Source organism: Homo sapiens, chromosome 11 (genome assembly GCF_000001405.40).
Source record: "Homo sapiens chromosome 11, GRCh38.p14 Primary Assembly".
Lineage (NCBI taxonomy): Eukaryota > Metazoa > Chordata > Mammalia > Primates > Hominidae > Homo > Homo sapiens.
Window position 1 is genome coordinate 2,557,351 of NC_000011.10, and position 25,339 is coordinate 2,582,689.

Here is a 25,339-nt window from a genome sequence, read left to right on the forward strand (position 1 = left end):
ATTTTAATGTACCTCTTTTGGAATAGGACAGTTCTAGTGGGCACAAAATAAGTGAGGACATGGACAGGTAAATGTTGTAATCATGAGCAATTTCAGATTCTAACAGTAATTTGAAATAACTCCTGTTCTTGTTATCTATAGCCATGTAACAAACCATCCACAAATCTAGCACCTTCAAAATACGCATCACGCCTGAGCTCGCTAGCCTACAGTCTGGCAGGGCTCAGTGGGACGGCTCATCTCCCCTCTGCATAGTATCAGCTGGGGCTGGAGCCTCCACAGCATTGCATCTACATGGCTGGTAAGGCTCCTGTTCATGAGGGCTTCTCCAAGGCTGCATGGATTCCTCACATCTCAGAAATGAACAGTCCAGGAGACAGGCAGTGCCAGGGACTGAGAGCCACCTGGCTGTATTCTCCTGATGCAGGTGTCACAGAGCCCAGGTTCAGTTGGGGAGGACTGGCAAAGAACTTCATAGGACTGTGCTTTAAAACCAGCACTATCACTTCGAACCCTAGTAATGGAGTTGTTTTGTTCCCTTATGTCTGCGGAACACTTACAAAACCAATCATTCATGTGGCTACAAACAAATCTAACCTACCTCAAAAAATTGAGATTTAACTGGCCATGTTCTCTGATCAAAACCCAATATCATGAGAAATAAATGATTAAAAGATTGGGGAAGAAAAATCCCTTACCTATTTGGGAATTAAACAACACTCTCCTAAATAGCCAGAAAGAAGAGATTGATGTGGGAAGTGCGGGCCCTGTAGGGCGTTATGAGACGTAGGCCCCGCTGCCTGCCCCAGCCCCTACATCACTCCAGCTGCCCCCCAGCACCAACTGTAGATGCTTTTATTTTGTAAATTCCATGCCAGTGCCCACATCGCTTGCTGGTGGCTTCACTGTGTTTGCAAATGTTGTCCCCCACGTGGATTGAAATTCATCTATTGCCTGAAAGTAATGAAGTATGTGCCTTGCACACTGTGTAAGCATACGTGTTTATTCAGTGCGTCCTGGGTTCTCACCCCTTGCCAGGTGATGGGTTGATTCAGTGTGCTGGGGGTCTCCAGGCGGGGGGGTCCACATAGTTTTTGCTTCATCAGAATCTGCTGATAAGCCCAGTTCGGAGCAGAGACTAGATGGGCCAGCCTGTGGGCACTCTGCCTAGCGCCATCTGCCTCTCCCACCCCAGGCAGGTGTCAGGTGGCTGCTGCGCCCTGTGTCCGCCTCCTGACCTTGAGAACACCCAGGTGGGGGAGGAAGTGGGCCGCGCTTCGGGAACCCCCACCCCGCCGGCTTGCGCAGCGAGCTGGGTCCCAGGGCTGGAGGCACCTCATTAAACCGCCTGAAACGTGTGTAACTCTAGTCGGCCCCCGTAAGGCACCGGCAGTACATGTGAAATTAAAATTACTGAGAGGCCCCACTCTCCTCCCCTCCATGGGTGGGCAGCCTTCATGGGGAGGCCAAGGCCCGGAAGCCGGCAGTCCTGGGAAAGATTTGGCCCCAATGATAATGGGCCCAAGAATGTGCTAGGCCCAGGGTGTGGTCCAAGTTCCTTTCTTAGCTAACCCCTCCACCCTGAGAAGCCTCCCCCACTACACCCACACATGGGGCCAGCTGCCTTGAGCACCTCCTGCTCAGACCCAGGTGAGGTACCTGAGTGACAAATGTCAAGAGTTTGCAGTTACTCCCAGAGCTACGGACAAGGGGCAAGGTGGGGCTGGAGGCACCGGCTCAGCAAGAGGGGTCACTTGAGCCTTGGCCTGCAGGGAGGTTTTGCTCAAGGAGTGTCCCTTGAGCAAAATATTGCACTTTCGTTGCTCTCTGAAAGCCTACCAGGCAGTCTTCCCAGAGGTGCTTCCCGGGAAGCCCGTGGAGAGGATGCATTCGACACCCAAGGCCTTATGGAATCAGTCCTGGGGCCTGGAGGGTCGTAGAGAAATGTGTGAACATGGCTCCCCTTAGGCCAGGGGTAGACGCAGGCACAGGGAGGATCAGGAAAGCCCTGGATCTTGTTGACACCCCGGGATGTGCCCTTGTGGCTACTTAGACGTAGAGCCCGGGGCAGGGGGAGGGCCAGCCCCTGTGGTTTTAGCCTCCTGAGAGTCTCCCCAGACAGCCCACAGGGGACACTGGGCCTCATGCCGCCTGTCAGGATGGTGTCCGGGATGTGGGGACCAGACGACAGCTGTCACCCACTTGCAGGGCCCGGCTGCCCGGTGGATGGGAACGGCCATCCCCATGACGACCCAGCAAGTCCCTTGCCTCTCTCGCTCACCAGGAAGAAGACACGTCCGGGCAGCTGGCAGGTGGGGCTAGTTCTGGAGGGAAAGCGGCCTCGTGCCTCCCAGAGTCACCCCGAAATCATTAACGGGGAGACAAGCACACAGAGCAGCTGGCCGATTGCAGCTCTGAAGGTCAGAGATGGCCGCCAGCTGTGGGAAGGCCTGTGGCTAGGGCTCTGCTGCCTGCTTCCTGGGCAGGGGCTCCTTCCTCCCTCTCTGTCTCTGGGGTCCCATGGGAAGTCAGGGTGGGGCCTGGTGTGTGGCTTCCGCTGGTTTCCTGGGTGTGTCTTCCTGCAGGGCCAGGACCCCCAGAGTGTTCCAGTGACTTCAGAGAGGGGCAGCCAGACCAGGAGGAGCTCCAGAGGTGCCCTGTGGGGAGAGGCAGCGTCCCAAACACGGGGGAGGGGGTACCGCCAGCCTGGGGACAGATAGCAGCATCTCAGCCATGGGGGGCCGTGACATCCGGTCAGGAGGGGGTTAGCATCTCAGACATGGGGGGGAGATGTCCAGCCCAGGGGAATGAGGGGGGTGATGTCCATCCTGGGGAGGGGTGACATCCATCCTGGGGGGACGGAGGCGTGACGTCCATCCTTGGGGGATGGGGGGGTGACGTCCATCCTGGGGGAGTGGGGGCGGTGACGTCCATCCTGGGGGAGTGGGGGCGGTGACGTCCATCCTGAGGGAACAGGGGGGTGACGTCCATCCTGGGGGAATGGGGGGGGTGACATCCATCTTGGGGGTACTGGGGGGTGGCGTCCATCCTGGGACTGGGGGGTGACGTCCATCCTGGGGGGACGGTGGGGGATGTCCATCCTGGGGGGACGGGGGGTGACGTCCATCCTGGGGGCGGGTGATGTTCATCCTTGGGGGACGGGGGAAGGTGATGTTCCTTCTGGGGGGGCGGGGGGGGGTGACGTCCATCCTGGGGGAGACAGTAACATCCCAAACATGGGGGATGATGTCCAGAGTGGGGGTCTTCAGGTCTTTACGGGCCCCTCAGCCTCCCCTTCCACACCCCAAGTACAGCACCCACAAGGCAGGTGCCTGGGAGGGAGACACACCTGTCCCCTGCCTGAAGTTTCTCAGCAGGATTTTGGGCACAAGGTGGGTAGTGAGCTGGTCTCAGCACTGAGCTTGCAGGTGGAGAAGGCGGGCCCCTGACTTTAGGGCGCTCTGGGTGGGATGAGGACAGACGTGGAGGAAAGGAGGGATCCCAGCAGAGGCAGCAGTGGATGGGGGAGGGCTTCACTGCAGGGAGAGTGAGGCTGCGCGGTGCCCTGCAGGACAGATAGGAACTCCCAGGCCTGTAATCCCAGCACTTTGGGAGGCCGAGGCGGGCGGATCACGAGGTCAGGAGATCGAGACCATCCTGGCTAACACGGTGAAACCCCGTCTCTACTAAAAATACAAAAAATTAGCCGGGCGAGGTGGCGGGCGCCTGTAGTCCCAGCTACTCGGGAGGCTGAGGCAGTAGAATGGTGTGAACCCCAGGGGGTGGAGCCTGCAGTGAGCCGAGATTGCGCCACTGCACTCCAGCCTGGGCGACAGCGAGACTCCGTCTCAAAAAAAAAAAAAAAGAAAAAAAGAAAAAAAAGGAACTCCCAGGGTGGAGCTGTGGACAGATAGGAACTTCCACAGCCAGGAAGGCCAGGTGACGTGGAGGGCCCCAGGCAGCTGGGCCAGCACGGGACGGGGCGTCAGGTCAGCGGGGCTCTTCTGTGCTGTGTGCAGCATGAGAGTCTGTACCCCACCTGTACTCAGGACCCTGCCCCCCGAGGACAAGGTCGCTTCCCTCTTGAGCACATGGGACACCACCTTCCTGCTACACTATTCCCATGCCCTTTCCACAGGCCCAGGCCACTGTTGTCATTTCGCCCTCCCCACAGTCCTAGGAGGTGGGCACTGCTGGTGCCCCATTTTACAGGTGTGGATGCTGAGCACAGAGAGGCTGAGCTGCTCGTCTGGGTCCCCCGCCTGGGATGCCACCAGTGTCCTCACACCAGCCTGCTCCTGCCCTGTGCCCATCCTCCTCCTGCTTAGCGATCCTTTCTCTTGCTAATGTGTGGGACAAGGGGCTCTCAGGGGGCCTGGCCAAGGTAGCGGGTCCCCCCACCATACTCCCAGTGCCACCCCTGGCTGCCTGGAGCTAGCTGTGCAGGGGCCCAGAAGCCCTCCCCTCCGAGGAGGTGGGCCTGTTCCAGGCTACCTTGGGCGGGCAGGGCCTTGGGTGGCCAGGGCCTCAGGAGGGACACAGAGGGCCCCACTCAAGGTCACGGGCTGCACGTTCCATGGGGCCTGGGGAAGCAGCCGAGCAGAAGGATGCAGCCCGACTAAGGCTGCCTCAGGGTGGCACCCCAGCGGTGCCCACACTAAGGGGACACTTGGCAGGGGAGGGGCTGTGGCAGGGCAGGGTCATGTCCCCAGCAGTAAGGCCAGGACAGGGCAGCCGGACCCCGACTGTGCCACCCTCAGCCCAGTGGATGGTGCATCTCACCTGGGCCTGGCCGGCTGCACTGTGGCGCCTGCCCCAGGCCAGGCTACCTTGGGCGGGGTGGGGACTGGTACTCCCCGGGGGGTGGGGGTGAGGGCGGGGGTGAGTGTGGATGAGGGCCCCAGCTGTGCCCAGCACGTCACTGGGGGCCCACAAGCTCTCAGCACAGGCTGGCGGCTGGGAGCAGCTGGCCACAGGCAGGCCCTGGGACAAAGGGCGCTTTGAGCTGCCTGAGTGCCTGCATTGCCCTCCGGCCAGCTGACCCTCCCCGGAGCCGAGGCTGGCTCTCTCTGTGGCTTATCAGGGCCGGGCCGGTGTGGAGTTGGAACAGCTGGCCCCAAAGCCCGCCAGCCGGGCTCTATGCTGTGGGGACCACTGCCCCCACAGGGAAGCGCCTGGCTCAGCACAGGCCCAGCCCTCTGGCTTCCTCGCTATGGGAGGGGGTGAGACCCTAATCCCGGGTCCCCACAGCACCCTCAGCCTAACCCCTGTGTCCACCCCTCTTCAGAGTCTCCAGGCCCCATCTTGGCCTGATGAGGCCTCATTGTCTCCTAAAAAGTGTGGGTACAGATCTCAGGCTTTTCAAGGGTGGGTGGATTCCTGGCTCCAGTGGAAGGTCCCCAGGCCTAAGTCTATGGGGGCGCCAGGGAGGCCGGCTGTGTTTCTGCATCCTTGACCCTGGCCCCTTCCACAAAGCTCAGCTCTGATCCTTCGTATTTAATCTTCATCTTCCGCCGTCTTTAAAATTAATTTTCCTTTAAAGATACTGTAGAGCAGTAACATCAGAGACACCAAAATAGACAAAAGAGATAATAGAAGAGTAATATCAGAGACACTAAAGTCCTCGCGATAAGGGTCTGCGAGGCTTCCTTTATGTTTTGCAAAAAAATCTATATATTTCATCCAGAGAGACAGGATGTGAGCGCAGCTGGTCAGAACCAGTTATTTCAGGCTGCCCTGTGATCTTTCCCACGTGATTGATTGACACAGGGACCTTCTCTAGGGTCCTAAATTATGTGGTTCCAGCAGCATGGAACTTCAAAACACATTGAACCCCAGAAAATCTTCGCTATGTTGGAGATTCGCCGGCTGATAAAAGCAAAACAATAGATAAGATGGCCAGGTCGACCTTCAGCCTTCTCGGAGAACACCGGTTCCACGGCCGGTTGCAACACGTTTGAGCCAAAGTGCGACCTTTCCCCGCTCTGTTCACTCGGAGACTAAAAATCCCAGATAAGCACCTGCTTTGCTAGACCCTTGCTGGCCCTCCGGCTTCGGGCAGGTCTCCTCTTTATGCCACTGTAACCCCACAACACCGGATACCAGCATGGGGTCGGCCTGCGGGGCCATGTGTCTCCTCCTGTGTGACCTTGAGCTACCTTGAGCTTCCATTTTCCTTCCGCACCATGCACTGATTTCCCCTGGGTTGAGGTTGAGGGTCCCAGGGTCTGTCTGCCTAATGACAAGATTTCAGTACCAATAGCGAAGCCGTCAGTGGCAGTGACTGTGCCTTAGGGTGTCCCGTTGGCATCCAGGGCCCCCCGTGAAGGATGGCACCGAGCACCATTCAACATAAGTCTTGTCAGCGTTCCGATGAAACAAGATTAGGGGAATTTTACAGCTTGCCTGTGTTTTTCCACCCAGGGCCCTTTGCACTGCCTGCTATTTGTTTTCTGTCTTCATCCTGAGAGGGCTCAAGGTCTGCATGCCATTTTGCAATTGACAAATGGCTTGTGCTTAGCTATTTCGTTGAATGCTGAACTAACAATAGTCAGTGAAGATTAAGAACTAAAGGCTCAAGGACAGCTACAGATGACCACAGCTGGAGTGCGGCAGATACTCGGGGCCGCTGGGTGGCCCTGAAGGCCCACAGAATCCTTTTGGAGACCTGACCCGCGGGAGCCCAGGTGAGCAACCGCCACGGGCCAGGGCCCCTCGAGGCACTCATTTCAGTATCAGAGAACACACATAACGTAAAATTCACCATTTCAGCCATTTCAGCCATTTCAGCCATTTCACAGCGTGCAATTTGGTGGCATTTAGTATGTTCACAAGGCGGTTCAGCCAACACCTGTCTCCGGTTCCAGAGCTTTTTCATCACCTCAAAAGGAAAACCATCCCCATTGCCCTTCTCCTAGTTCCTGACAAACATGTTCTTTTTAAACATTATGGTGAAATATAAGGCCAGGCGCGGTGACTCATGCCTGCAATCCCAGCACTTTGGAAGGCTGAGGCGGGCGGATCACCTGAGGTCAGGAGTTTGAGACCAGCCTGGCCAACATGGTGAAACCTTGTCTCTACTAATAATACAAAAAGATTAGCCGGGTGTGGTGGTGGGTGCCTCTAATCCAGCTACTCAGGGGGCTGAGGCAGGAGAATCACTTGAACCTGGGAGGCAGAGGTTGCAGTGAGCTGAGATGGTGCCACTGCACTCCTGCCTGGGCAACAGAGCAAGACTCTATCTCAAAATAAAATAAAATGGAAATATGTTTTACCATCTTAACCCTTTTTAAGATCACAGTTCCTTGCGACCATCGCCACCATCCAGCTCCAGAGCTTTTTTCATCTTGCAAAACTGATGAAAGTCTGTCCCCATTAAACACTCACTCCCTACTCCCCCTTCCCCAGCCCCTGGCGCCCATCATCTACTTTCTACCTCTGTGAATCTGATGACTGTAGCGACCTCACGTGAGTGGAAGCAGATAGTATTTGTCCTTGTGTAACTGGATCATTTCACTGAGAGTAATGTCTTCAAGGTTCCTCCATGTTGCAGCCTGTGTGAGAATCCCCTTCCTTTTTAAGGCCAAATCCTATTCCGTGGTAGGGAGGGACCACATCTTCCGTCTCCGTCGGTGCACTGAGGGACACTGGGCTGGTTCCCCTTTTTGGCTGTTGTGAATGTTGCTGCTGTGGACATGGGTGTGTATGGATCTCCTTTAAAGAGACCGGGGACAGACTCCAAAGTGGAATTGCTGGGTCATACAGTAATTCTGTTTTTTTTCTGGCATGTTATTTAAACAGACTATTTGTTAGAGCAGTTTTAGGTTCACAGCAAAATCGAGCGGCTGGTCATTTCACGCTTTAAAGGAGCTGTGGCATTCTACATCCCCCAGCAGCACACAAGGTCCCAACTTCTCCGGATCCTTGGGAGCACTTGTCACTCTGTTTGGGGTGGCAGCCACCCTAATGGATGAGAGGTGGCATCTCGTTGTGGTCTTGATTTGCATTTCCCTGATGATTAGTGACACTGGGCACCTCTCCGTGTGCCTCTTGGCCATCTGTGTATCTTCTTCACAGAAATGACTGTCCAAGCCCTTTGCCTATTTTTTAAAAATTGAGTTGTTAGGAACTTTGGTTTTTTAAATAATTTTAAAGCACACAAATAAGACACCTGAGAGCCAACTTATAACACGCCCCAGGATGGACATGGATTCACACTCATGGTAGAACAGAGCTGAGGGTGCAGTGTGGGATGGGCTGACTTGTGGCCAGGGGAAAGACCCGTGGCCTATCTTGTTTTGGGGGGCAGGGACCCAGAAACTCATTGCTTTCAGGCCTTGCTAGAAAAGCATACAGTCGAACGAGTGGGTCCGATGTGGAGTGCAGTGGCATCAGCCAAGGCTCCGAGGCGTTTCTTCCCACTTCACATGTCTTTTCTGTTGTTTCTGCGAAGGTGTCTCAGGGAGGGGCAGAACCCATGGGGTTTGGCTTCCTGACCCTGAACGTCTTTGTCCCAGGCCCTTCACTGGGTCTGGAGGAAGGAGGGTGCTGTGGTCCTGGTGGCTCTTGTGCCTGCACCCGCCTTGGGGCCATCTGACACCCACACCCTCCCTCCAGGCCAGACCCAGCTCTCCAGCTTCCCGGCTGCCCACTAGATGACCACCAAGGCAGGGCGGCTGGTGGTGCTGACGGCTCTGTGAGGCCCAGGCCTGTCTTCCCCACCTCACCCCACAGGGCTGAGACACCTCCCTGTCCCCTGGCAGGGCTGGAGGCTCTGGAGTCTCTCTTGGTTACCCTCTCTCTCCCAGGGCCACTTTTGCAGCCTGGTGTCCTTATCTCATGTCTGGGTCCCCTTTGCCAAGGGTCCTCCAGCCTTTGGCCTGCACCCACTCATCTGGCAGTAACAGGGCCACTTCCAGAACCACCACCATGCCCAGGTCATGTCTGTGCATGAGAGTGGTCAGCCCTCCATGGCAGGCCTGGCCTCACCTGCCAGTGTCCTCTCCCACACCCGAGGACACCTGTACCTTGTCCCGGGGCGGGGCTCTCTCTGCCATGGACGCCAGTCTTCCCTCCCCTAAGCTGCGGGTGACCTGACCTAGTTGAGCCTGGCTTTCCTCCTCTGTAAAATGTGAACAGAGGCCACCACCCCCATTATGTGGGTCTGTGTTTGCTCTGTGCACGTCTCGGTGCCCAGATCTGAGGCCCTTTTGTCCATGAAGCCATCTGCAGCCAGGAGGCGGCCTTGCTTTAGTCTGAAGGAGAGTGACCAGGGTAGGAGGGGCCTCCTTGTCCCTTTGGTCTGTTTGTGGTCTCAGTGGAGACCAAGGACGGCTCTTCTTCTCGTATCTACGGGGCAGAGCTCAGGGCCGCACTCCATCAGCATCCCGGGCCATTGCATCCTTGACCCCGGGGGGCTTGCAGGCACCACATAGATCTTGTGAGAGGCGCTTTGTGGGGCTGGATGATCCTGGGTGCCCCTCAGAGAAGGCCCTGGGGCTGGCCTTGTTATCAGTGGGGGAGTCAGGAAGTACCCCGGTTCTGTACCTGTAGTGGATGGGGCTCTCAGAGGGATTGGGGGTGATGGGGGTGCTGAGCTGGCCTGAGAAGGGTGGGGTAACCTAGGGGGTGGAGTGGGGGAGGGAGAGAGCACTCCTGACACAGGGTCCTGAGGAGGCAGGGGTGCCCCAGGGAATGGGGGGCACCTGGGGCCCACGGGAGGCTCTGGGGGAGACTGGGCGGTGAGCCCCTGGGAAGGAGGCCTCAGGGACAGCCCTAGACTGTCACCCTCAGTGTGGACAGCAGGAGCTATGGCAGCTGCTTGAGCAAGGTGGGCAAGGGAGAAGTACCAAATGTGTGCAGGTTCTGGGGAGGAGCTTGAGGCCCCTTTAGTTCACCTTTGGAACTTAGGACCAAGTCTGCAAATACAGATGAACCCAGGGTTAGGAGGGTGGCTGGGGCATCACCCACCTGGGGTCTGGACTGCTGGAACCAGGGGGAGGCAGGCCTGCCATTCTGTGAGCCTGCTTTAGACTGGGGATGTGGTCCCGTGAATCAGGGGTGGGCCATGGCATGGCGTGGGGGACCAGCCCTCCTCCCTGTCCCCAGCTGAGTGTGAGCTCCCTGGGGTCTTGCTGTGGCCTTGGCCCTGGGTGTTGTCCCACACAGCCCAGGAGAGCGTTTGAGGCTGATGGTGGTGGAGATAGTTTTATCTCTGAGCAAACATTCCATCTTGCTGTTTCCAGCCTAGAGATGGTGAGGGGACTTTTCCTTGGCTCTTTCCTGGCCTGCTAGCAGCACCAGCCTAATTAACCTGACAAGCGGGGCCTCCCCAGCCATGCAGCCTTGCACTGCCTTCCCACATCCAGCTGGATTTGGGGATCAGTGTTGTTTTTAATCATTCCTACCACCTTGTCCCACAGGCAGGAGTCCTGCCATCTTCGAAGGCCAGCCCCTAAACAGGTTCCCTGAGTGTTAGGTCAAAATAACTTTAAAAAGACACGCAGCTATCCACAGCAATCCTTAATAGTTACTTATCTATTTCAGGGTATAACATAAGACACACCTATCATTTCAGACCTGCCTAGGACATGCCTGGAGAAGGTATTTAAGTAATTTTAAAAGTGCATCAAAACAAGGTCAGGCGCGGTGGCTCACGCTTATAATCCCAGCACTTTGGGAGGCCGAAGCAGGCAGATCACCTAAGGTCAGGAGTTCCAGACCAGCCTGGCCAACATGGCAAAACCCCATCTCTACTAAAAAAATACAAAAAAATTAGCCAGGCGTGGTGGCATGCGCCTGTAGTCCCAGCTACTCAGGAGGCTGAGGCAGGAGAATTGCTTGAACCTGGGAGGCAGAGGTTGCAGTGAGCCGAGATCACGCCACTGCACTCCAGCCTGGGTGACAGAGCGAGACTCTGTCTCATAAATAAATAAATAAATAAATAAATAAATAAAGTGCATCAAAACAAGAAAAACCCTGCTAAGGGCCAGTCTGCTGGGTGGTGGATGGGTCAGCAGAGCTGGGCTGGGAGCCGCTATGCCTCCCCATCAAGGCCACCAATAGTCGGGTGAGCCGGCCTCTGTGCCGTCATGGGCACCCTGTCTCAGCTCCGGGGACTTGGAGCTCTGTGTTTCCGTGGCCTTTTTCACGATGACCAAACAAAGGCGGGTGTTATGGTGTCCAGGCCCGGTCTCCCTAACGGGCAGTTTCTCAGAAGCAAAGACCGACGAGACAGAGCTCCTGCTACCAGAGAGCCCTAGGCCGGCTCATTGGAATAGTCATTTATTTGTTCCTTCATTCGTTCATTCAGCATGTCCATGTTGAGCACTGACTGGAGCAGGTCCTGTTCTGGGGCCTGGGAAATGGGGGTGGATAAGACCAAGGTAGCCTCTTCTCTAAGGAGCTCAGCCGGACCTCAGCCTAGAGCCCTGGTCCCCAGGAGCTGAGGACAGAGGTGGGACCCACACCCCCCCCATGAGGCCACAGAGCCTGCAGGTGTCCACACCTTTTGTTTTTGTTTTTTGATTTTTGTTTTTCGTTTTTTGTTTTTTGAGATGGAGTCTCACTCTGTCACCCAGGCTGGAGTACAATGGTGTGATCTCGGCTCACTGCAAGCTCTGCCTCTCGAGTTCAAGCGATTCTCCTGCCTCAGCCTCCTGAGTAGCTGGGATTACAGGGCGTGCGCCACCATGCCAGGCTAATTTTTGTATTTTTAGTGGAGACAGGGTTTCACCATGTTGATCAGGCTGGTCTTGAACTCCTGAACTCGTGATCTGCCTGCCTCGGCCTCCCAGAGTGCTGGGATTACAGGCGTGAGCCCCCGCACCTGGCCCACACCCTTTCTTTACCTTACACCCCTGCCATCTCCAGTATGCACCTGTCCGCACACACCCACACACCCCTGAAGGATTTGACGTCATGAGCCAAAAACATTTTTGCAAAAGGAAAGCAACTAAGCTCCCAGCGTGTCTCCCCTTATCCATTGGGCTTGTCCCAAACACATGCCGGATGGTGTAAGTATCATTCCATCCTAATTAATAACATTTGGGAGCCAGCGATGGCAGTGTCCAGCTGACTGCTCATAGTGGACTCCCTGGTGGGGGCGTGGCATGGGAGCAAGGCCAGCCACTGTCACCCAGTGGGAGCAGAAGTCCCCTCCAGGGCCCGGCTTCTGAGGGAGGACAGGCAGGAGTCCGCCGGAAGTGGGCCTGAGACGCCGTATGCCTGTGGCTTTGTGGCTTTGTGTGGCTAGCGCCTCTCACACGTGGGGGCTGGTTTCATCTTCCAGCCCCACACACCTTCCCCAAGGGCCTCCCGTACACCCCGGCTGCCTGGGCGCTGGGCTCCAGCCTGCAGGTGGCCGCTGCACTTTAAGTGTCACAATGGGCTGCACTTCACATGAAAGCTGCATTTTGGCAATAAGTCCCCACCAAGCCCACTGAGCCTGGCCCTGCTGCATCCACACTATACAGCTGAGGAAACTGAGGCCCAGCTTTCCACTTCTGTGCCTAGGGGGTGGGATCCAGCTCCGAGGGTCTTCTTCCCACTCCTCCAGGAACCTCCGCCCTCTGGTGTCGGTGGAGTTGAGGAGGTGTTGGGGTGTGGAGGGGCCAGGTGACTCCCTGTAAGGGCAAAGTGATCCAGAGGCTGCCCCTACCGCAGGTACACCAGGCTCAAAGGCCAGCTGTGAGGCTTTCCGGGGCTGGATCTGGTGGGAAAGTGCTTATCACGGAGGGCACCCGGGGTTCCTGGCGTGGGACCCCCTCTGACCCAGGCTAGGGTTCCTGGCGTGGGACGCCCTCTGGCCCAAGCTGGGGTTCCTGGTGTGGGGCCCCCTCTGACCCAAGCTGGGGTTCCTGGCGTCGGACGCCCTCTGGCCCAAGCTGGAGTTCCTGGTGTGGGGCCCCCTCTGACCCAAGCTGGGGTTCCTGGCGTCGGACGCCCTCTGGCCCAAGCTGGGGTTCCTGGTGTGGGGCCCCCTCTGGCCAAGGCTGGGGTTCCTGGTGTGGGGCCTCCTCTGGCCTGGGTGGGCCTGGCCTGAGAGCTGCAGCCTCACCTGGGCTCCACTGCCTATGGACATGAGCTGAAGCTGCTCAGCCTTCCAGGGCCTCTGTGCGCAGGCATCACCATCCGCAGCAGGCCAGGACCCGGGCCTGCTGTTCTCAGGGTGTCCTTCAGCGGAGGCTCCAGCATGGCTGGGTTCAAACAGGTTGCAGGGTCTGAAGCCACTCAAGGCCGAGCCTGCCTGCAGTGAGCGTCCCACTCTGTCCCTGCAGGAGATCGTGCTGGTGGTGTTCTTCGGGACGGAGTACGTGGTCCGCCTCTGGTCCGCCGGCTGCCGCAGCAAGTACGTGGGCCTCTGGGGGCGGCTGCGCTTTGCCCGGAAGCCCATTTCCATCATCGGTGAGTCATGCCTGCCCTGTGGAGGTCACGCCCAGGTTTCCAGACCAGGAAGGACCCCCACCTCATGACCCCTACCAGATGGAGTCCCCTAAGGACTGGGGAACCCCAAGGCCAGCAGGGGGTGACTGCCCAGGACCCAGCACAGGAGCATTGGCAGCCCTCAGCAGCCTCTGCACTCAGACGCTGATCATGGTGTTGGGGGTAGGGGGTTGGTCCCTCACAGATTCCCATGAGCCTCACAGCCCAGCATAGCTTCATGGTGGGCCAGTCACCCTCGGCAGCCTGAGAACCATGGTCCAGGCCTGAGGCCCTGCCCTTTCTGGCCACTTGCAGGGCTCAGCACAGGGCCCAGCCTAGGCCGGGGGCTCCACATGGCCAGGACAGAGGTTGGGTCTCTCCGTTTAGATGCTGCCTGCCTCCCTATCCGAGGTGTCTCCATGTCCCCGGTCATCAGGGCGTGACCCGTCTGACCAGCAAGCCCCTTCCCCAGACGAGAGCAGGGTGTATGCTCTTCCCTGGGGCCCTGGCTGTGGCGATCACGAAAAGCTCCCCCTCTCCTGCACTCCACAGACCTCATCGTGGTCGTGGCCTCCATGGTGGTCCTCTGCGTGGGCTCCAAGGGGCAGGTGTTTGCCACGTCGGCCATCAGGTGCGTCTGTGCCACAAGCTCCCCCCGCCATGCCGCCCCACCCCGAGCACCCCTCCTGAGCCGCGGGTGGTCTCACGCCCCATCCACCTTGCTCAGATGCAAGGTGCCTTGGTGCCCACTGCCCCCGGGGGCACTGAGCCATGTGCTGGGATGGGTGGAGCAGGGTGGGTGCAGGCAAGTGTGGAGGGCACGGCTCAACCCAAGATGCCTCAGGCAGCCCTAGGCTCTGGCCCAGCACTAGCGCCTCTGAACTTCCAGGACTTGGGTGGTAACCTGACCATCTGGGCACACAGCCTGCCCATCTGCAAACTGGGGTGACCCAAGGAGCCCCCCAGAAGGCAGTCTGGGGACTGAGGGAATCTGGAGGTACCTGGCCGACCCCCAGCTCAGCCCTGTGTGGGCAGATTCAGAGCAGGCTCTGGGGGGCTGCGCCTGAGAGGGAGATTCCCAGGCCCCTGTCGGGATGGACATATACCCAGCCTCCCCACCCAGAGTGGACGCCTGGGAGGGGCAGGGGCAGGGACACCCATGCCATCGGCCAGCCCTAGGCCCGGCGTGAACAGCTGAGCCCAGCCTGGCTCCCTCAGCCCCACACCATCTCCTTCGCAGGGGCATCCGCTTCCTGCAGATCCTGAGGATGCTACACGTCGACCGCCAGGGAGGCACCTGGAGGCTCCTGGGCTCCGTGGTCTTCATCCACCGCCAGGTGGGTGGCCCGGGTTAGGGGTGCGGGGCCCAGGTTGGGGACAGGACGGAGGGAGCAGAGCAGCCCACACTAGGACAGCTTGAGATGCGCTGAGGCCCCGGGGGCCGGTGGGTGCCTGGGCGCAGGGGTACCTGAACGGGGCCCAGGATCTCAGAGCAAGCCCAAGCTTGAGCCCAGCCTGGATGCTCCACCCCAGCCTGGTGCCAGTGACCCTGGCCTGCCAGGCTGATGGTGTGCTCACCTTCCTCTGAGCTGGGGGCAAATGAAGACAGAAAGTCAGAAATGAAAAACCCAGGCAAATCAAGGACCCGGTCAAGGCAGGGCCACCAGACTCCCTCCCGAGGGCTGCACTCAGATGGGTTCAGGCTGCACTGGCCCCTGGCTCTGTGGGGTGAGGGGACCCTTCCTCTCCCTGAGGATCTCCTGGGTCCTGGTCCATTCTTGGTTCTGTCACGTGGCAGGAAAGAGAGCTGGGCAATCAGTGGAGCCCGCGCCGGCCCAGACAGTGGGCCTAGGGCGACCCCAGGGCTGAGCCTCATTCTGGGGGTAACCCCCACCCGCCACTTACCGGAGTTGTGAGGAGTGGGCTATATTGAAGCCGGCCCTGTGCATGTGAACCGCGCTGGAGCGGCGTAGGACGCCCAGTGATCGCTGGGACTCGCTGCCTTAGGCGTCTGCACAGGAGGCTCCCAGCCTGCGGTTCCTGGAGCCCGACACTGTGTGTTTTCTGGCCTAGGAGCTGATAACCACCCTGTACATCGGCTTCCTGGGCCTCATCTTCTCCTCGTACTTTGTGTACCTGGCTGAGAAGGACGCGGTGAACGAGTCAGGCCGCGTGGAGTTCGGCAGCTACGCAGATGCGCTGTGGTGGGGGGTGGTAAGTCGGAAACTTCCAGGCATGGGGACAGGGGCAGCTCAGGCTGAGGAGTGGGCAGGACATCTGGGCACTGGTGTCTTGAGACTTCGGGCCTTGGCAGGGGCTTCTCACCTGCACGCTCACAGGCCTCTGTCCACAAACCTGTGCTTGGAGCCGCTGGCACAGGTCCCCACGCTCAGTGTTGAGTCCTTTGGCATCACCATCTTGAAGTTCTGAATGGTCTCATCCTTGAACTTGAGATTTGAGAGGGAAATCGGAGGGGTCACTGGAGCGTGTGTTGGGGGCTTAGCGGTTTCGGCTCCCCCATGGCTCTGCCTCCCGCCATCGTCCTAGGTTGCCCATTCCCTGCCTCCACCGTGGCCCTCACCCTGGCAGGGCCCAAGGAGAGCGGCGTCAGATGCATACCTCGCGTGTCTCTGAGGGTCCACACAGGCCCTGTAAGTGCCCCTGTCCCCAAGGAGCCAGACATGAGACAGCAAACAGGAAAGACCATGATGGCTCAAGAGACCCCAGCAGAGATCAGAGAGCCCCCGTGTTTCCAGTGGATGCTGGGCCTGCAAGTTCTGGAGCCGGGCCTGGGCAGTGGCGACATAGGTGCAGCTGGGCCTAGGGAAGCAGGGACCCGGCCTGTGGGCCCAGAGGCTGCCCCTGGCTGTGAAGGTGGGTTCCGGCCACCTAGAGCAGCCCGGGAGCCTTGGGGAAGCCGGTGTGCAGCAGGCAGATCCCGCACTGGAACACCGAGCCACCCAAAGCTCAGAGAGGCTGTGCGGGAGGGGTGGGGCAGGGTGTCTTGGGCCGTGTCTGTGGGGGCTTCCTTGAGGGACTCAGGCTTGCACGTGGGAGAGGGAGATGTTCCGATGAGGATGCAGCTGCAGGAATCAGGGTGCGCCCTCCGAGCTGCAGGCTCCCCAAGTCCCAAGTCACTGGCCTGTGGGCCCAGCAGCAGTTTCTCATGGCTCAGAGGACGCTGGCTGAGGCATTTTTAGGGGGCAGGCCTAGCTTGCCAGTGTCCCTCTGGGAGCTGGTGGCTGCCTTCAAATCCTCCAGTGAAAGTCGGCGTTTATATATGCATGGAGCTCAAGGGCTGCTTCTAGGGGGAACACGTGGGTACCCCGAGGGGAGTAGCTGGCTGGAGGCCAGAGTGCAGGGAGGGAATGACTCCATCCCATCTCCCCCCACAGCTGCAGGGCCAGGTGGGCCGTCCACAGGCCACTAAGGCCCAGGGTGGCACCATCACACCTTGGGGAGTGGCCCTGGGTGGGGACCGAGAAGCCCAAGTGCCGAGGTGACAGGGTGACCCCTACTCTGCCGCCACAAGCCTGCCCCCGCGTCTGCCCTTGTCTACCGACCTCCGGGCTCACTCAGTCCGATAACAGGTTAGATGGAATCGTGGTAGCAACAGGGGCTGGGGGCTGGGGAGGAGGCCGTCGAAGCCCACACAGGGTGGGAGCCAAGGCCTGGGGGCCGCACGGGGGCTGGAGGTGGGGGCGGGCAGGGCAGCCGTGGGAAACACGTGGTGGTGCCAGGACCCAGTCCGTCTGCCCCGAGTCCTCCTTCCAGAAAGGACCGGACTTGCTGGCTCTCGGGACCCCCCACCACCATCAGAGCATATCTGGGTGGGGTGAGAAGCCTCCCGGTGGCTCCCCAGGCAGGCACGTGTCCCTGCGATTGCTGTGCCTCCTCCCTCCCCCTCAACCGCCGCTTCCCCCATGAGGCCAGACACTCAGCAGTGGCTCCTGACGTAGGCCAAGTCAGCAGGTTTTCTGGAAGCTTCCAAAGTGCTGCAATGCTCAGGGATGGCAGGGGCATGCTGACACAGCTCCTGGGTTGGGGCAGGCCCCACTTTCGGCCTCTTCCCGCCTTCCTGGGGGCCTGTGTCCCCGAAGGCCCCAGTGTGGCAGGCCTGAGCAGGTTTGGGCAGCAGGGCCCAGCCCCCCTGCGGGAGCCTGCCTGCAGTGAGTGTGGATGGGTAGGGCGTGCTCGGGGGATGGACGGCCCAGAGCCAGGAGAGTTCCCGGGAGGCTGGTGGCAAGGTGGGCAGTGAGGAGCTGGCGGTGCAGCAAAAGCCAGTGGGTACTGGCCCCGGCACGGCTGATAAGCAGTGCCCAGCCTTCGCTGCTGCCCTGCCTGCCTTCCCAGCCGCCCACTGGAGCTGTGGGCAGCGGACGCTACTCCCCAGCCCCCCAGCCCGCAGCAGAGCGGCACTCCCACTCCCACACCTGTGCAAACATCCGCCCGCTGGCCGGGAACACGGCCCCTTTGTGCCCGGCTTGGCATCAGTGCCCCGGCCCACACCGTCAGCTGCAGCCCGAGCCTCGGCCATCGCGCGCCCTGGCCTGGCCATTGTTCCCGCCAGGCCCCGCGCCCCTGGTCGCCCTGGGCCCCCCACCGCCCAGGGCTGTGGGGCAAACAGCTCCCATTCAGCTGCCCTGCAGCTGTCTGGGGGGAGCGGCCCCTGAGGCCTGAGTTATGGGCTGTGTTCCTGGCATTTCTCGGACAAACAGAACTTGAGAAACGCAAGAAGGGGCAGCAGCCCAGATGGGGGCTTTTAAGCCAGTTTTGCCAATTTGCAACTGCGCCCTGAGCAGTTGTTTTCTTTCAGCTCCTTTGTCCTGCTTCCTTCACCCCACCGGGGAGTGAAGTACGCCCTCGCCGGCCAGGCAGCCAGGGCTGCTCCATGTCTGTCCGTCCGTCGGGGCTGCCACAGGCCCTTACTGGGTGGGAGGTGGCTTCCTGGAGGCCAGGCCATTCTGATCATCATGCTGCATCTGCCCCAGACCTTGCCTGGACTCTGTGGACTCCTCACCCCTCAGACACACCCTGAGAGGGTGCTGGAGCTGCCACAACAAAGTCCGCGAACTGCTGGGCCCAGAGCAACAGAAACTCATGGGCTCTAGAGGCCAGAGCCCGAAGCGAGGTGTGCACAGGGCCTGCCCCTCCGAAAGCTCAGGGAGAAATTTCCTCTCCTCTCCCCGTGGCTGGAGACTCCAGGCGTGCCCGGTGTGCGGCCGCCTCTTTCCTCTGTGTCAGGCCCTGTCTCTCATGAGGACACTTGCTGTTGGCTTTAGGGTCCACCCAGGTGATCCAGGAGGAGCTCATCTTGATTGAATCTTCAAAGAGCCTATTTCCAAATATCGCATTCTGTGGGTCCAGGTGAATATGAATTAGGGGGGATGCAGTCCAGCCTAGGACAGTGGGTGGCCCAGGTGGACTTCCTGGGAAGGTCCCTCCCCTTGCCGGCCACCAGTTTCCACAGCTGTCCAGCGAAGGCGCCGGCTCAGTGGTTGAGTGTCCCCTCCTGTCCCCTTCGCCGGGGTGGGGATACGCAACTTGGATGTGAGAACTCTCGAATCCCCTGAGTGTGGCGCCTGCCCTGGCTGCCAAGGCGTTTGGGGAGAATTTAAGACTTTTCTTTGCCCTTGGAACAAAATGCGTTTGTTTGTGTTAAAGTTTGAGTGGAGGGAGAAGCAGTTTTTGCAAACACGGGCTTCTCTGTTCAGCGCCCGGGGGTCTCTACAAACAGGAGGCTGCCGGGCTGTGTTTGCCCCTCTGCACCTAAATTTAGAATTGAAAGTAAAGAAGCTGGAACCCCATTCCTACATTTCAGCCGCCTTTTGAAGTCGAGTCTGACTGCCTGCTGTTCACTCTCTCCTCACCTGGAGCCTCCAGAAATTCCCGCCTCCCTGGCAACGCTGCACCCTGGCGGGGCAAGGCCAGAAGGGGCTGGGGGCTGGTGCAGGGGTGTGCGTGAGGGCAGGGCCTCCCAGACAGTCACAGGCCAGCCCTGTTGGCACTGCCCAGCGGGAGGGGTGGTGTCAGGAAGAGCTGGGGAAGCCAAGGCGCCGTGGGCCGAGGGGCGGCAGGACCTGGCCACCCACCGAGCCCCTGGGTCAGCGTTCTTCCTCCTCCTGGAGTTCCGTGCAAAGGGGAACGAGTTCAGCTGCCCTACTGAGTGGGCCTGGGGACAGAGGCAGAGTACGCACCTGCTGTGTGCCTCAGTTTCTCCATCTGCACATGGGAGACAGCAGTCCGTCTCCCAGGGCCAATGCAGGGCCCGCTGCAAGGGCTGCTGAGGACTGTAATCCCAGAGGCTGCAACCGATCCCTCTGCTGCGGAGACTTTCCCTGGACCGAAAGGGCCTCCTGGTGAGGCTGGGTCTCCGTTTGTGGACTCACTGTTGAGGCGTGTGGTTTGCGGTCCTGCTGTGTGCCAGGCACCGGCAGGGGTTCGGGCAGCCCTGTCTTGCTCTCTCTGTCACAGTCAGGAGCGAGAAGCATGGTGTGAGCTGGGGCTGGCCTGTGGTGGTTCGCAGGTGGCCATGGGAAGCACCGCCGGAGTGTCCCTGCAGGACTGTTTCGGCCCAGGAGCAGGGAGGCCTCCTTGAGGAAGTGACAGCTGAGCTGAGACCTCAAGACACAGTCACCTGGGCCACCTTCCGGCAGGGCGCTGAGCCTGGCTGTACCTCGGGGAAGACGCGGCCTGGGGCCTGGGTGCCATGGGGGTGTTGACGGTTTCACCACCAGCCCGTGTGTGGGGCTCCGGGCTTCGTGAGTGAGGAGAGGACTCCATGTGACGGGGAGGCCTGGCCCTCGTGAATTGGTGTTCGTTTATTTACTTTCTCCTGCTGAAAGGAAGCAGGTTTATTTTGGGGTGTGTGTCTGCTTTTGCTTTTACCCTGAGAGTTTGCCAGCCTGCTGGCTTGTTCCCCCACCCCCACCTGGTGGCGTCAGCCCCTTTATGGCTGTTCCTGAGAGACAGGCCGGAGTCTCCAGGGCGGCCCCACGGGGGCTGGGCGTCCCCTTGGAATGTGAGTGCCTGGCCTGTTAGAGCCCCAGGACCGCTGGCCCCACCCTTCTCTGTCCCAGAGACAGTCCTGCCCCCCACCCAGGGGCCTCCCTCTGTCCACGGCTCCCCCTTTCCCAGGCCACCCCCCTAGGCCCCTTTCCTCCACCTTCATTGGCCCTGCCCTCTGTAGTGTCACCCAGGTCAGTGGGGCCCTGTCCTGCCCTGTCCTGAGGAGTGCATGTCTCTGAGCCCTGCATGGGGGGAGCCCACCAGCTAGCAGAGGCCCAGAAGGCTCTAGACAGGCTCTAGACTGGGTCTCTAAGTCTGCAAGGGGCACCAAAGCACTTTACAAATTCCAGGAGTGAGTGACAGGCTGGCCACGTGCCAAGCCCTCACCCAGCAGGCAGCCCGTGAGAAGTGTGTTGTGATCATGCACCTTCCCGAGAGGGGGAAACTGAGGTACAGAACATGCTGGGGCTTTGCCTGAGGCCAGACGGACAGGGTGAGAACTGCCCCCCACACTCAGAGCCACGGTGCCAGCCCAGCCTTGCCAGCAGGGCAGCCACAGGACTTCCAGGCAAGGTGACGGTGCCAGGTGGGGCCCGAGGCCCTCACTCATAGGGCATTGTCCCACATCCCCTGGAACCACTGAGACAGGCATCGTGCCACGAGAGGGGACACCTGCCTGGACCTCTGTGTGCTCAGCCTACTGGGGGCACTGAGGCCGAGGGCCCAGCTCTGCGAGATCCTGCATGGGCTTCCTTCCAAGCCCTGGAGAGGGGAGCAGGCCTGGGAGGGCGCCCTTGGCCCAGAGCCTCCATGAAGAGCCAGGGGCCTCCTCATGGCTGGGGCCCCAGCACAGTGACCTGGGAATGGCTGTGGCCGCATGGGATGTCCCGGAGCCCCTGCCGCCCTCCTTGGAGCTGTGGGGCTGAGCTTGGGTGCTGCGCTCTCCTGACTCCATCCTTAGGTGCCTCCTCACGGGCAGGCTGGGCTCTCGAGGCTGGGCAAGGTCGGGGCCTGCAATGGCTGAAGCAGCCTCTTAGCCCATCTCTGCCTTCGGGGTGGCCACAGCGGGGAACGTGGGTCCTGCAGGCCTTGGTCCAGCTGTCTGCCTGGCCACTTTCTAATGGGGAGCCCTCAGCACAGTGACTGCCCAGCCTCAGTTTCCTCCTTCGTAGATGATCTTGACCTGAGAGTGCCAGCTGGGGTGTGACACCTCTGGGCTACCCCCTCCTCCCGCTCTTGACCACCCCTTCCTCTGGACAGACGACCACCACATCTCCAGCCAGGACCACCCCTTCCTTCTGGGCAAATGACTACCACGTTTCCAGCCGGGGCCAGTGAGCTCTGGGAGCCAGGGCTTGGCATGCGGCTGGAGCTCAGGTTTCTGGGCTGGCCTCTGTCCTCCCCTCGAGGCCAGCCTTGAGGAGGCTACTTCTGAAAGGAGGGAATAGAATCCCAGTGTTTCTCAGGGAGGAACATGGGGGGACTAGAAGGCTCCCCATGCCTCCCGCCCCTTCACATGGGAGTGAAGGCACAGGCCAGCAGGAGGGCGGGGGAAACACACTGACCAGTGGGGTGTGCGTTCCCCGCTCGCCCCCACAGTTCCTGCCATGGGCGTGACTTTGTGTGCCTCATATGGCTGGTGCCCTGGCAAGGAGCCACGGCCCAGGAGACAGACATGTGGATCTGCATTCCAGGTGGTGGGCCATCAGGGACTAATCCCCAGCATGGTGACCATAAAACAGCCCATTCCTGAGCTGCCTGTGTCTGAATGCAGGAAAAACAAACAGGTCTGCAGGGAGGGGCCGTTTCCTTGTTAACTTGAGGATGAGGGTCTGGGGCCGGGTCTGGGCAGACAGGCAGACCAGGCGAAGGTGGGGTCCTGGAGCTGCGTCCTGCTGTATGTGTGCTCTCCACGGTGGGCAGACACCCAGGGGCACTTCTGGGGCTGGCCTTTCTCTCCCTCTCGGGGCACCCCTGCCTTCTACTGACCACCCAGCCAGCCAGCAGGAGCCCACGTGCACCCAGCTCAGCCCCAGGAGGTGACACCCCCACCCTCAGCAGCTCTCGTCTGTTTGGGGGCAGGTTTGGAAGGTGGTCTCGGGTGTCCTTACGCGAGCAGGTGGCTACCTCACCTGCTCACCTGACCCCAACTCCACTCTGACTTCCAGGCCAGCCCCACTCCATTCCACCTTCATCATGCAGTTTCTGTATTAGATTTTTAAATAATCAAAATATGGTATTTTCATTTAAAAAGTAATGCTTTTAAAATATATTAAAATAATTTAATGTTGTTATTAGAACAATGTTTAATATGCCAGCCCGTGCCATTTGTCTTGATGCCTGGGTTTGCTGGCGCCCCTTACGCTTGGCACGCAAGGCAGGAGCTCCCCACTGGCCTCCCCCAACTGCTTGCCGCCCAGCCCCCCTCAGGCCAATTCCTGCCTCTCAGCCTATCTTGGGTTTGTCCTCGGCTGCCTCGGGAGGCAGCCGTGCCCAGGCCTCTTGGTCTCAGGGCCCCTTGGTGCCCCTGACGGAGAAGCCTGGCTCGTGGGCATTGTGCCATCACTATTTAATACAGTGGAGGCATGTAAAAACAATTCCATATTAATTTATTAAAATAATAGACCCATTACATTTTCATAATGTCATGAAAAATTTCTATATTTTCCAAAACAAATATTATCGAAAGAAAAATATGCATTTTTGCAAATCTCCAGAAAGCCTGGCTCCCCAGAGGACGGGGATCCCCACGCCTGTCCCGGAACTGTCTGTGAAGAGCAACGTCCCACTGCTTACGCTTGGGTGGGAGCAGGAGTGCCTGTTAGTGCCCCCCAGCCACAGAGAGTGCTGCCGTCCCTGAGCCCAGCCCCAGCAGATCATCAGCACACATTTGCCTGGGGAACACAGACAGCCCTGTCCTGGACGCAGCCCTTCAACCCTGCTTCTCATACCTGACCCCCACCTTGGGCGCTGGTCTGCCACACCCCACCACCCCTGCTTTCTTCAGCCTGACCTTGTCCTCCCGGACCCAGTGCTAGGAGGATGTCCAGGCGGGGTGGGACTTGGGCCTGCGCTGGGCTGCTCCTCAAGTCTCGGGCTGCACGTGCCAGCCAGGCAGACGGTGCTGAGAGGGGCCCTTCTGCAGAGCGGAGGCAGAGCCCGGAGTGGAGGGGTGAGCACTGCCTCAGGGCATTGGCAGGGGCTGCGCCAGCCCAGGCACAGGTCTGAGGGATGAATAGGAGGTTGCTGGATGAACAAGTAGGAATCAGCATGTTCATACTGAAGGGGTGAGTGTCCCCCCAAAAAATCTGGATTAGACAGACTCTGGAGCCCTCTTGCTCCAGGTTGCAGGGGCCCTCCGAGCTCAAGGCCAGGATAGGCCAGGGTCCCTGCCCTGCCCAGGCCCTTCTAGGCCCGTTTCTGGGCCACCTGTGTGTGCTTTCTTGGACTTGCTGTAGACTTGGTAAACAGTGGATGTGCTGGGACCCTGGGCTGAGCCCCTTTGGGCTGAGAGCTCACCAGGTGGAAGTCACTCCCCAGGGCAGGACTGGCACAGGGTCTCCGATGCCCCGCCCACTTTGCAGCCCTGTGTCTGCCTCTGCAACTCCCCACCCCAGTGCACCTGGGCCCTCTGGGGAAGGTAGCGGCAGCCCAGCCTGTGCATGTGGGTGCAGGCCCTCTGGGGAGGACACCCTGCAGACGAGGGGCTCCGGTTCCCCCAGGGCCCCCCTCTCTGCCAGCCACTGTCAGCCTCACCCATGGCCTGGCTTCACCCTGCAGGGACCTGGCTGCGCTCCGTGTGCCTGCGCTGTGCGTTCAAGGTGTCTGCACCTGAATGTGCCCTGAGAGTGTCAGGCTCGGACATGGGGACCAGCTCCCTTTTCACATGACCTTGTCATCTGTGTGACGCACGTGCGTGTGCCGGGTCGTGTGTTTCCGTGTGTGTGTGCACAAGCACAGACACGTGCACGTGTGGAGCATCCCATCTCTGCATGGGGCACGCTTGTGAGTGTGCACCCACATACACAGAGCCGGGTGGTCCACTGAAAGGGCCTGGCAGTAAACAGCTTCCTGTGCACATTGTGTGTGTGGCAGGGGCATGGGGGCATGTGTGTGTCTCTTAAGGACAGTGGCGCTGCAGGGAGAGCTCCGTGTGCAGCTGTGGGAGGTAGCCTGCAAGCAGCCTCTGCAGAAGCATCCTGGCCATAAGCGAACGTGCGGTCAGGGCACTAGTGGGGCAGGGGCCTGGGTGGCGGCCAGGGCTCAGCAGAGGCCTGTCCCGCCCTGTGGCCTGGCGGCGGTGGCTGGCGTTCATCACTGTTCGTTAACGTGCTCATCGGTACAGCCTGGTTTCCCGCAATGTGGCCGCTTCTGCTACCTGAGCCTCCGAGCCTCCTGCTGTGGCAGTTCTGGGCAGTCGCGTGAGCCGTGTGCACCTGCCTCTCTGTCCGCGTGTGCGCCTGTGCACCCCTGCCCGGGGGTGGCCATGGGGCTTCTCCCCACCCTCCCTCCTCCTCAGTGGCTGGTGGAAACCACAGGGTGGCCCAGGGACCCTGGTCTCGTGGGGGCTCAGGTGGGCCGGGGTTTGTTCTTGCCTTCCATCAGAGTGTGTTAAACAGGCCTCAGGCCTTCCTGCCATCAGCACTGGGCCCATAGGGCTGGGAATCCAGTGGGGGTCTCCATGTGGTTCCCAGCTGGGGCATTCCTGGGCCTGCAAGCGGTGGCCGTCACTTGACCTTGACCAGAAGCCCCAAGCCGGTAAATGCTGTGCTGTCCTGAGTGTGGTGCCCAGAGCAGGGCTGCAAAGACCTCCCGCAGCCACAGCCATGGTCTGGGCCACCATGCCTGCTGTCCAGATGAGCCCAGGCAGGAGCCTGTGTGTCCACAGGGTGAGCTGTGCCTGAGGGCC

General features: G+C 59.7%; 1 protein-coding gene across 5 annotated transcripts in view, besides 4 other annotated features; it reads left to right on the forward strand.

Annotated features, from left to right (window-relative positions):
* The window catches only part of KCNQ1 (potassium voltage-gated channel subfamily Q member 1), a 404,098-nt gene that overhangs the window by 112,343 nt on the left and 266,416 nt on the right, over positions 1–25,339 (forward strand). For 4 of the 5 annotated variants that reach the window (NM_001406837.1, NM_000218.3, NM_001406836.1 and 1 more), the window contains 4 exons: positions 13,278–13,404; positions 13,975–14,053; positions 14,663–14,759; positions 15,496–15,636. The exons of the other annotated variant lie outside the window; for it this stretch is intronic. In NM_001406837.1, the coding sequence (NP_001393766.1) occupies positions 13,278–13,404; positions 13,975–14,053; positions 14,663–14,759; positions 15,496–15,636 (444 nt within the window). The remainder of the gene's footprint in view (positions 1–13,277; positions 13,405–13,974; positions 14,054–14,662; positions 14,760–15,495; positions 15,637–25,339) is intronic. 5 annotated transcript variants of the gene reach the window in all.
* Positions 3,521–4,304: an enhancer, noted in NCBI's record as "H3K27ac-H3K4me1 hESC enhancer chr11:2582101-2582884 (GRCh37/hg19 assembly coordinates)". NCBI's record gives its function as "activates a minimal SCP1, AML or CMV promoter by ChIP-STARR-seq in naive H9 embryonic stem cells {active_cell/tissue: H9 hESC(naive)}" and the evidence as "EXISTENCE:reporter gene assay evidence [ECO:0000049][PMID:30033119]".
* Positions 9,149–9,443: a silencer, noted in NCBI's record as "tiled region #10946; K562 Repressive non-DNase unmatched - State 13:Ctcf". NCBI's record gives its function as "represses a minimal TATA promoter and a strong SV40 promoter by Sharpr-MPRA in K562 cells {active_cell/tissue: K562}" and the evidence as "EXISTENCE:reporter gene assay evidence [ECO:0000049][PMID:27701403]".
* Positions 12,289–12,509: a silencer, noted in NCBI's record as "fragment chr11:2590869-2591089 (GRCh37/hg19 assembly coordinates)". NCBI's record gives its function as "represses an EF-1alpha promoter that drives an FKBP-Casp9 reporter gene in an ReSE screen in HepG2 liver carcinoma cells {active_cell/tissue: HepG2}" and the evidence as "EXISTENCE:reporter gene assay evidence [ECO:0000049][PMID:32094911]".
* Positions 22,183–22,788: an enhancer, noted in NCBI's record as "H3K4me1 hESC enhancer chr11:2600763-2601368 (GRCh37/hg19 assembly coordinates)". NCBI's record gives its function as "activates a minimal SCP1, AML or CMV promoter by ChIP-STARR-seq in primed H9 embryonic stem cells {active_cell/tissue: H9 hESC(primed)}" and the evidence as "EXISTENCE:reporter gene assay evidence [ECO:0000049][PMID:30033119]".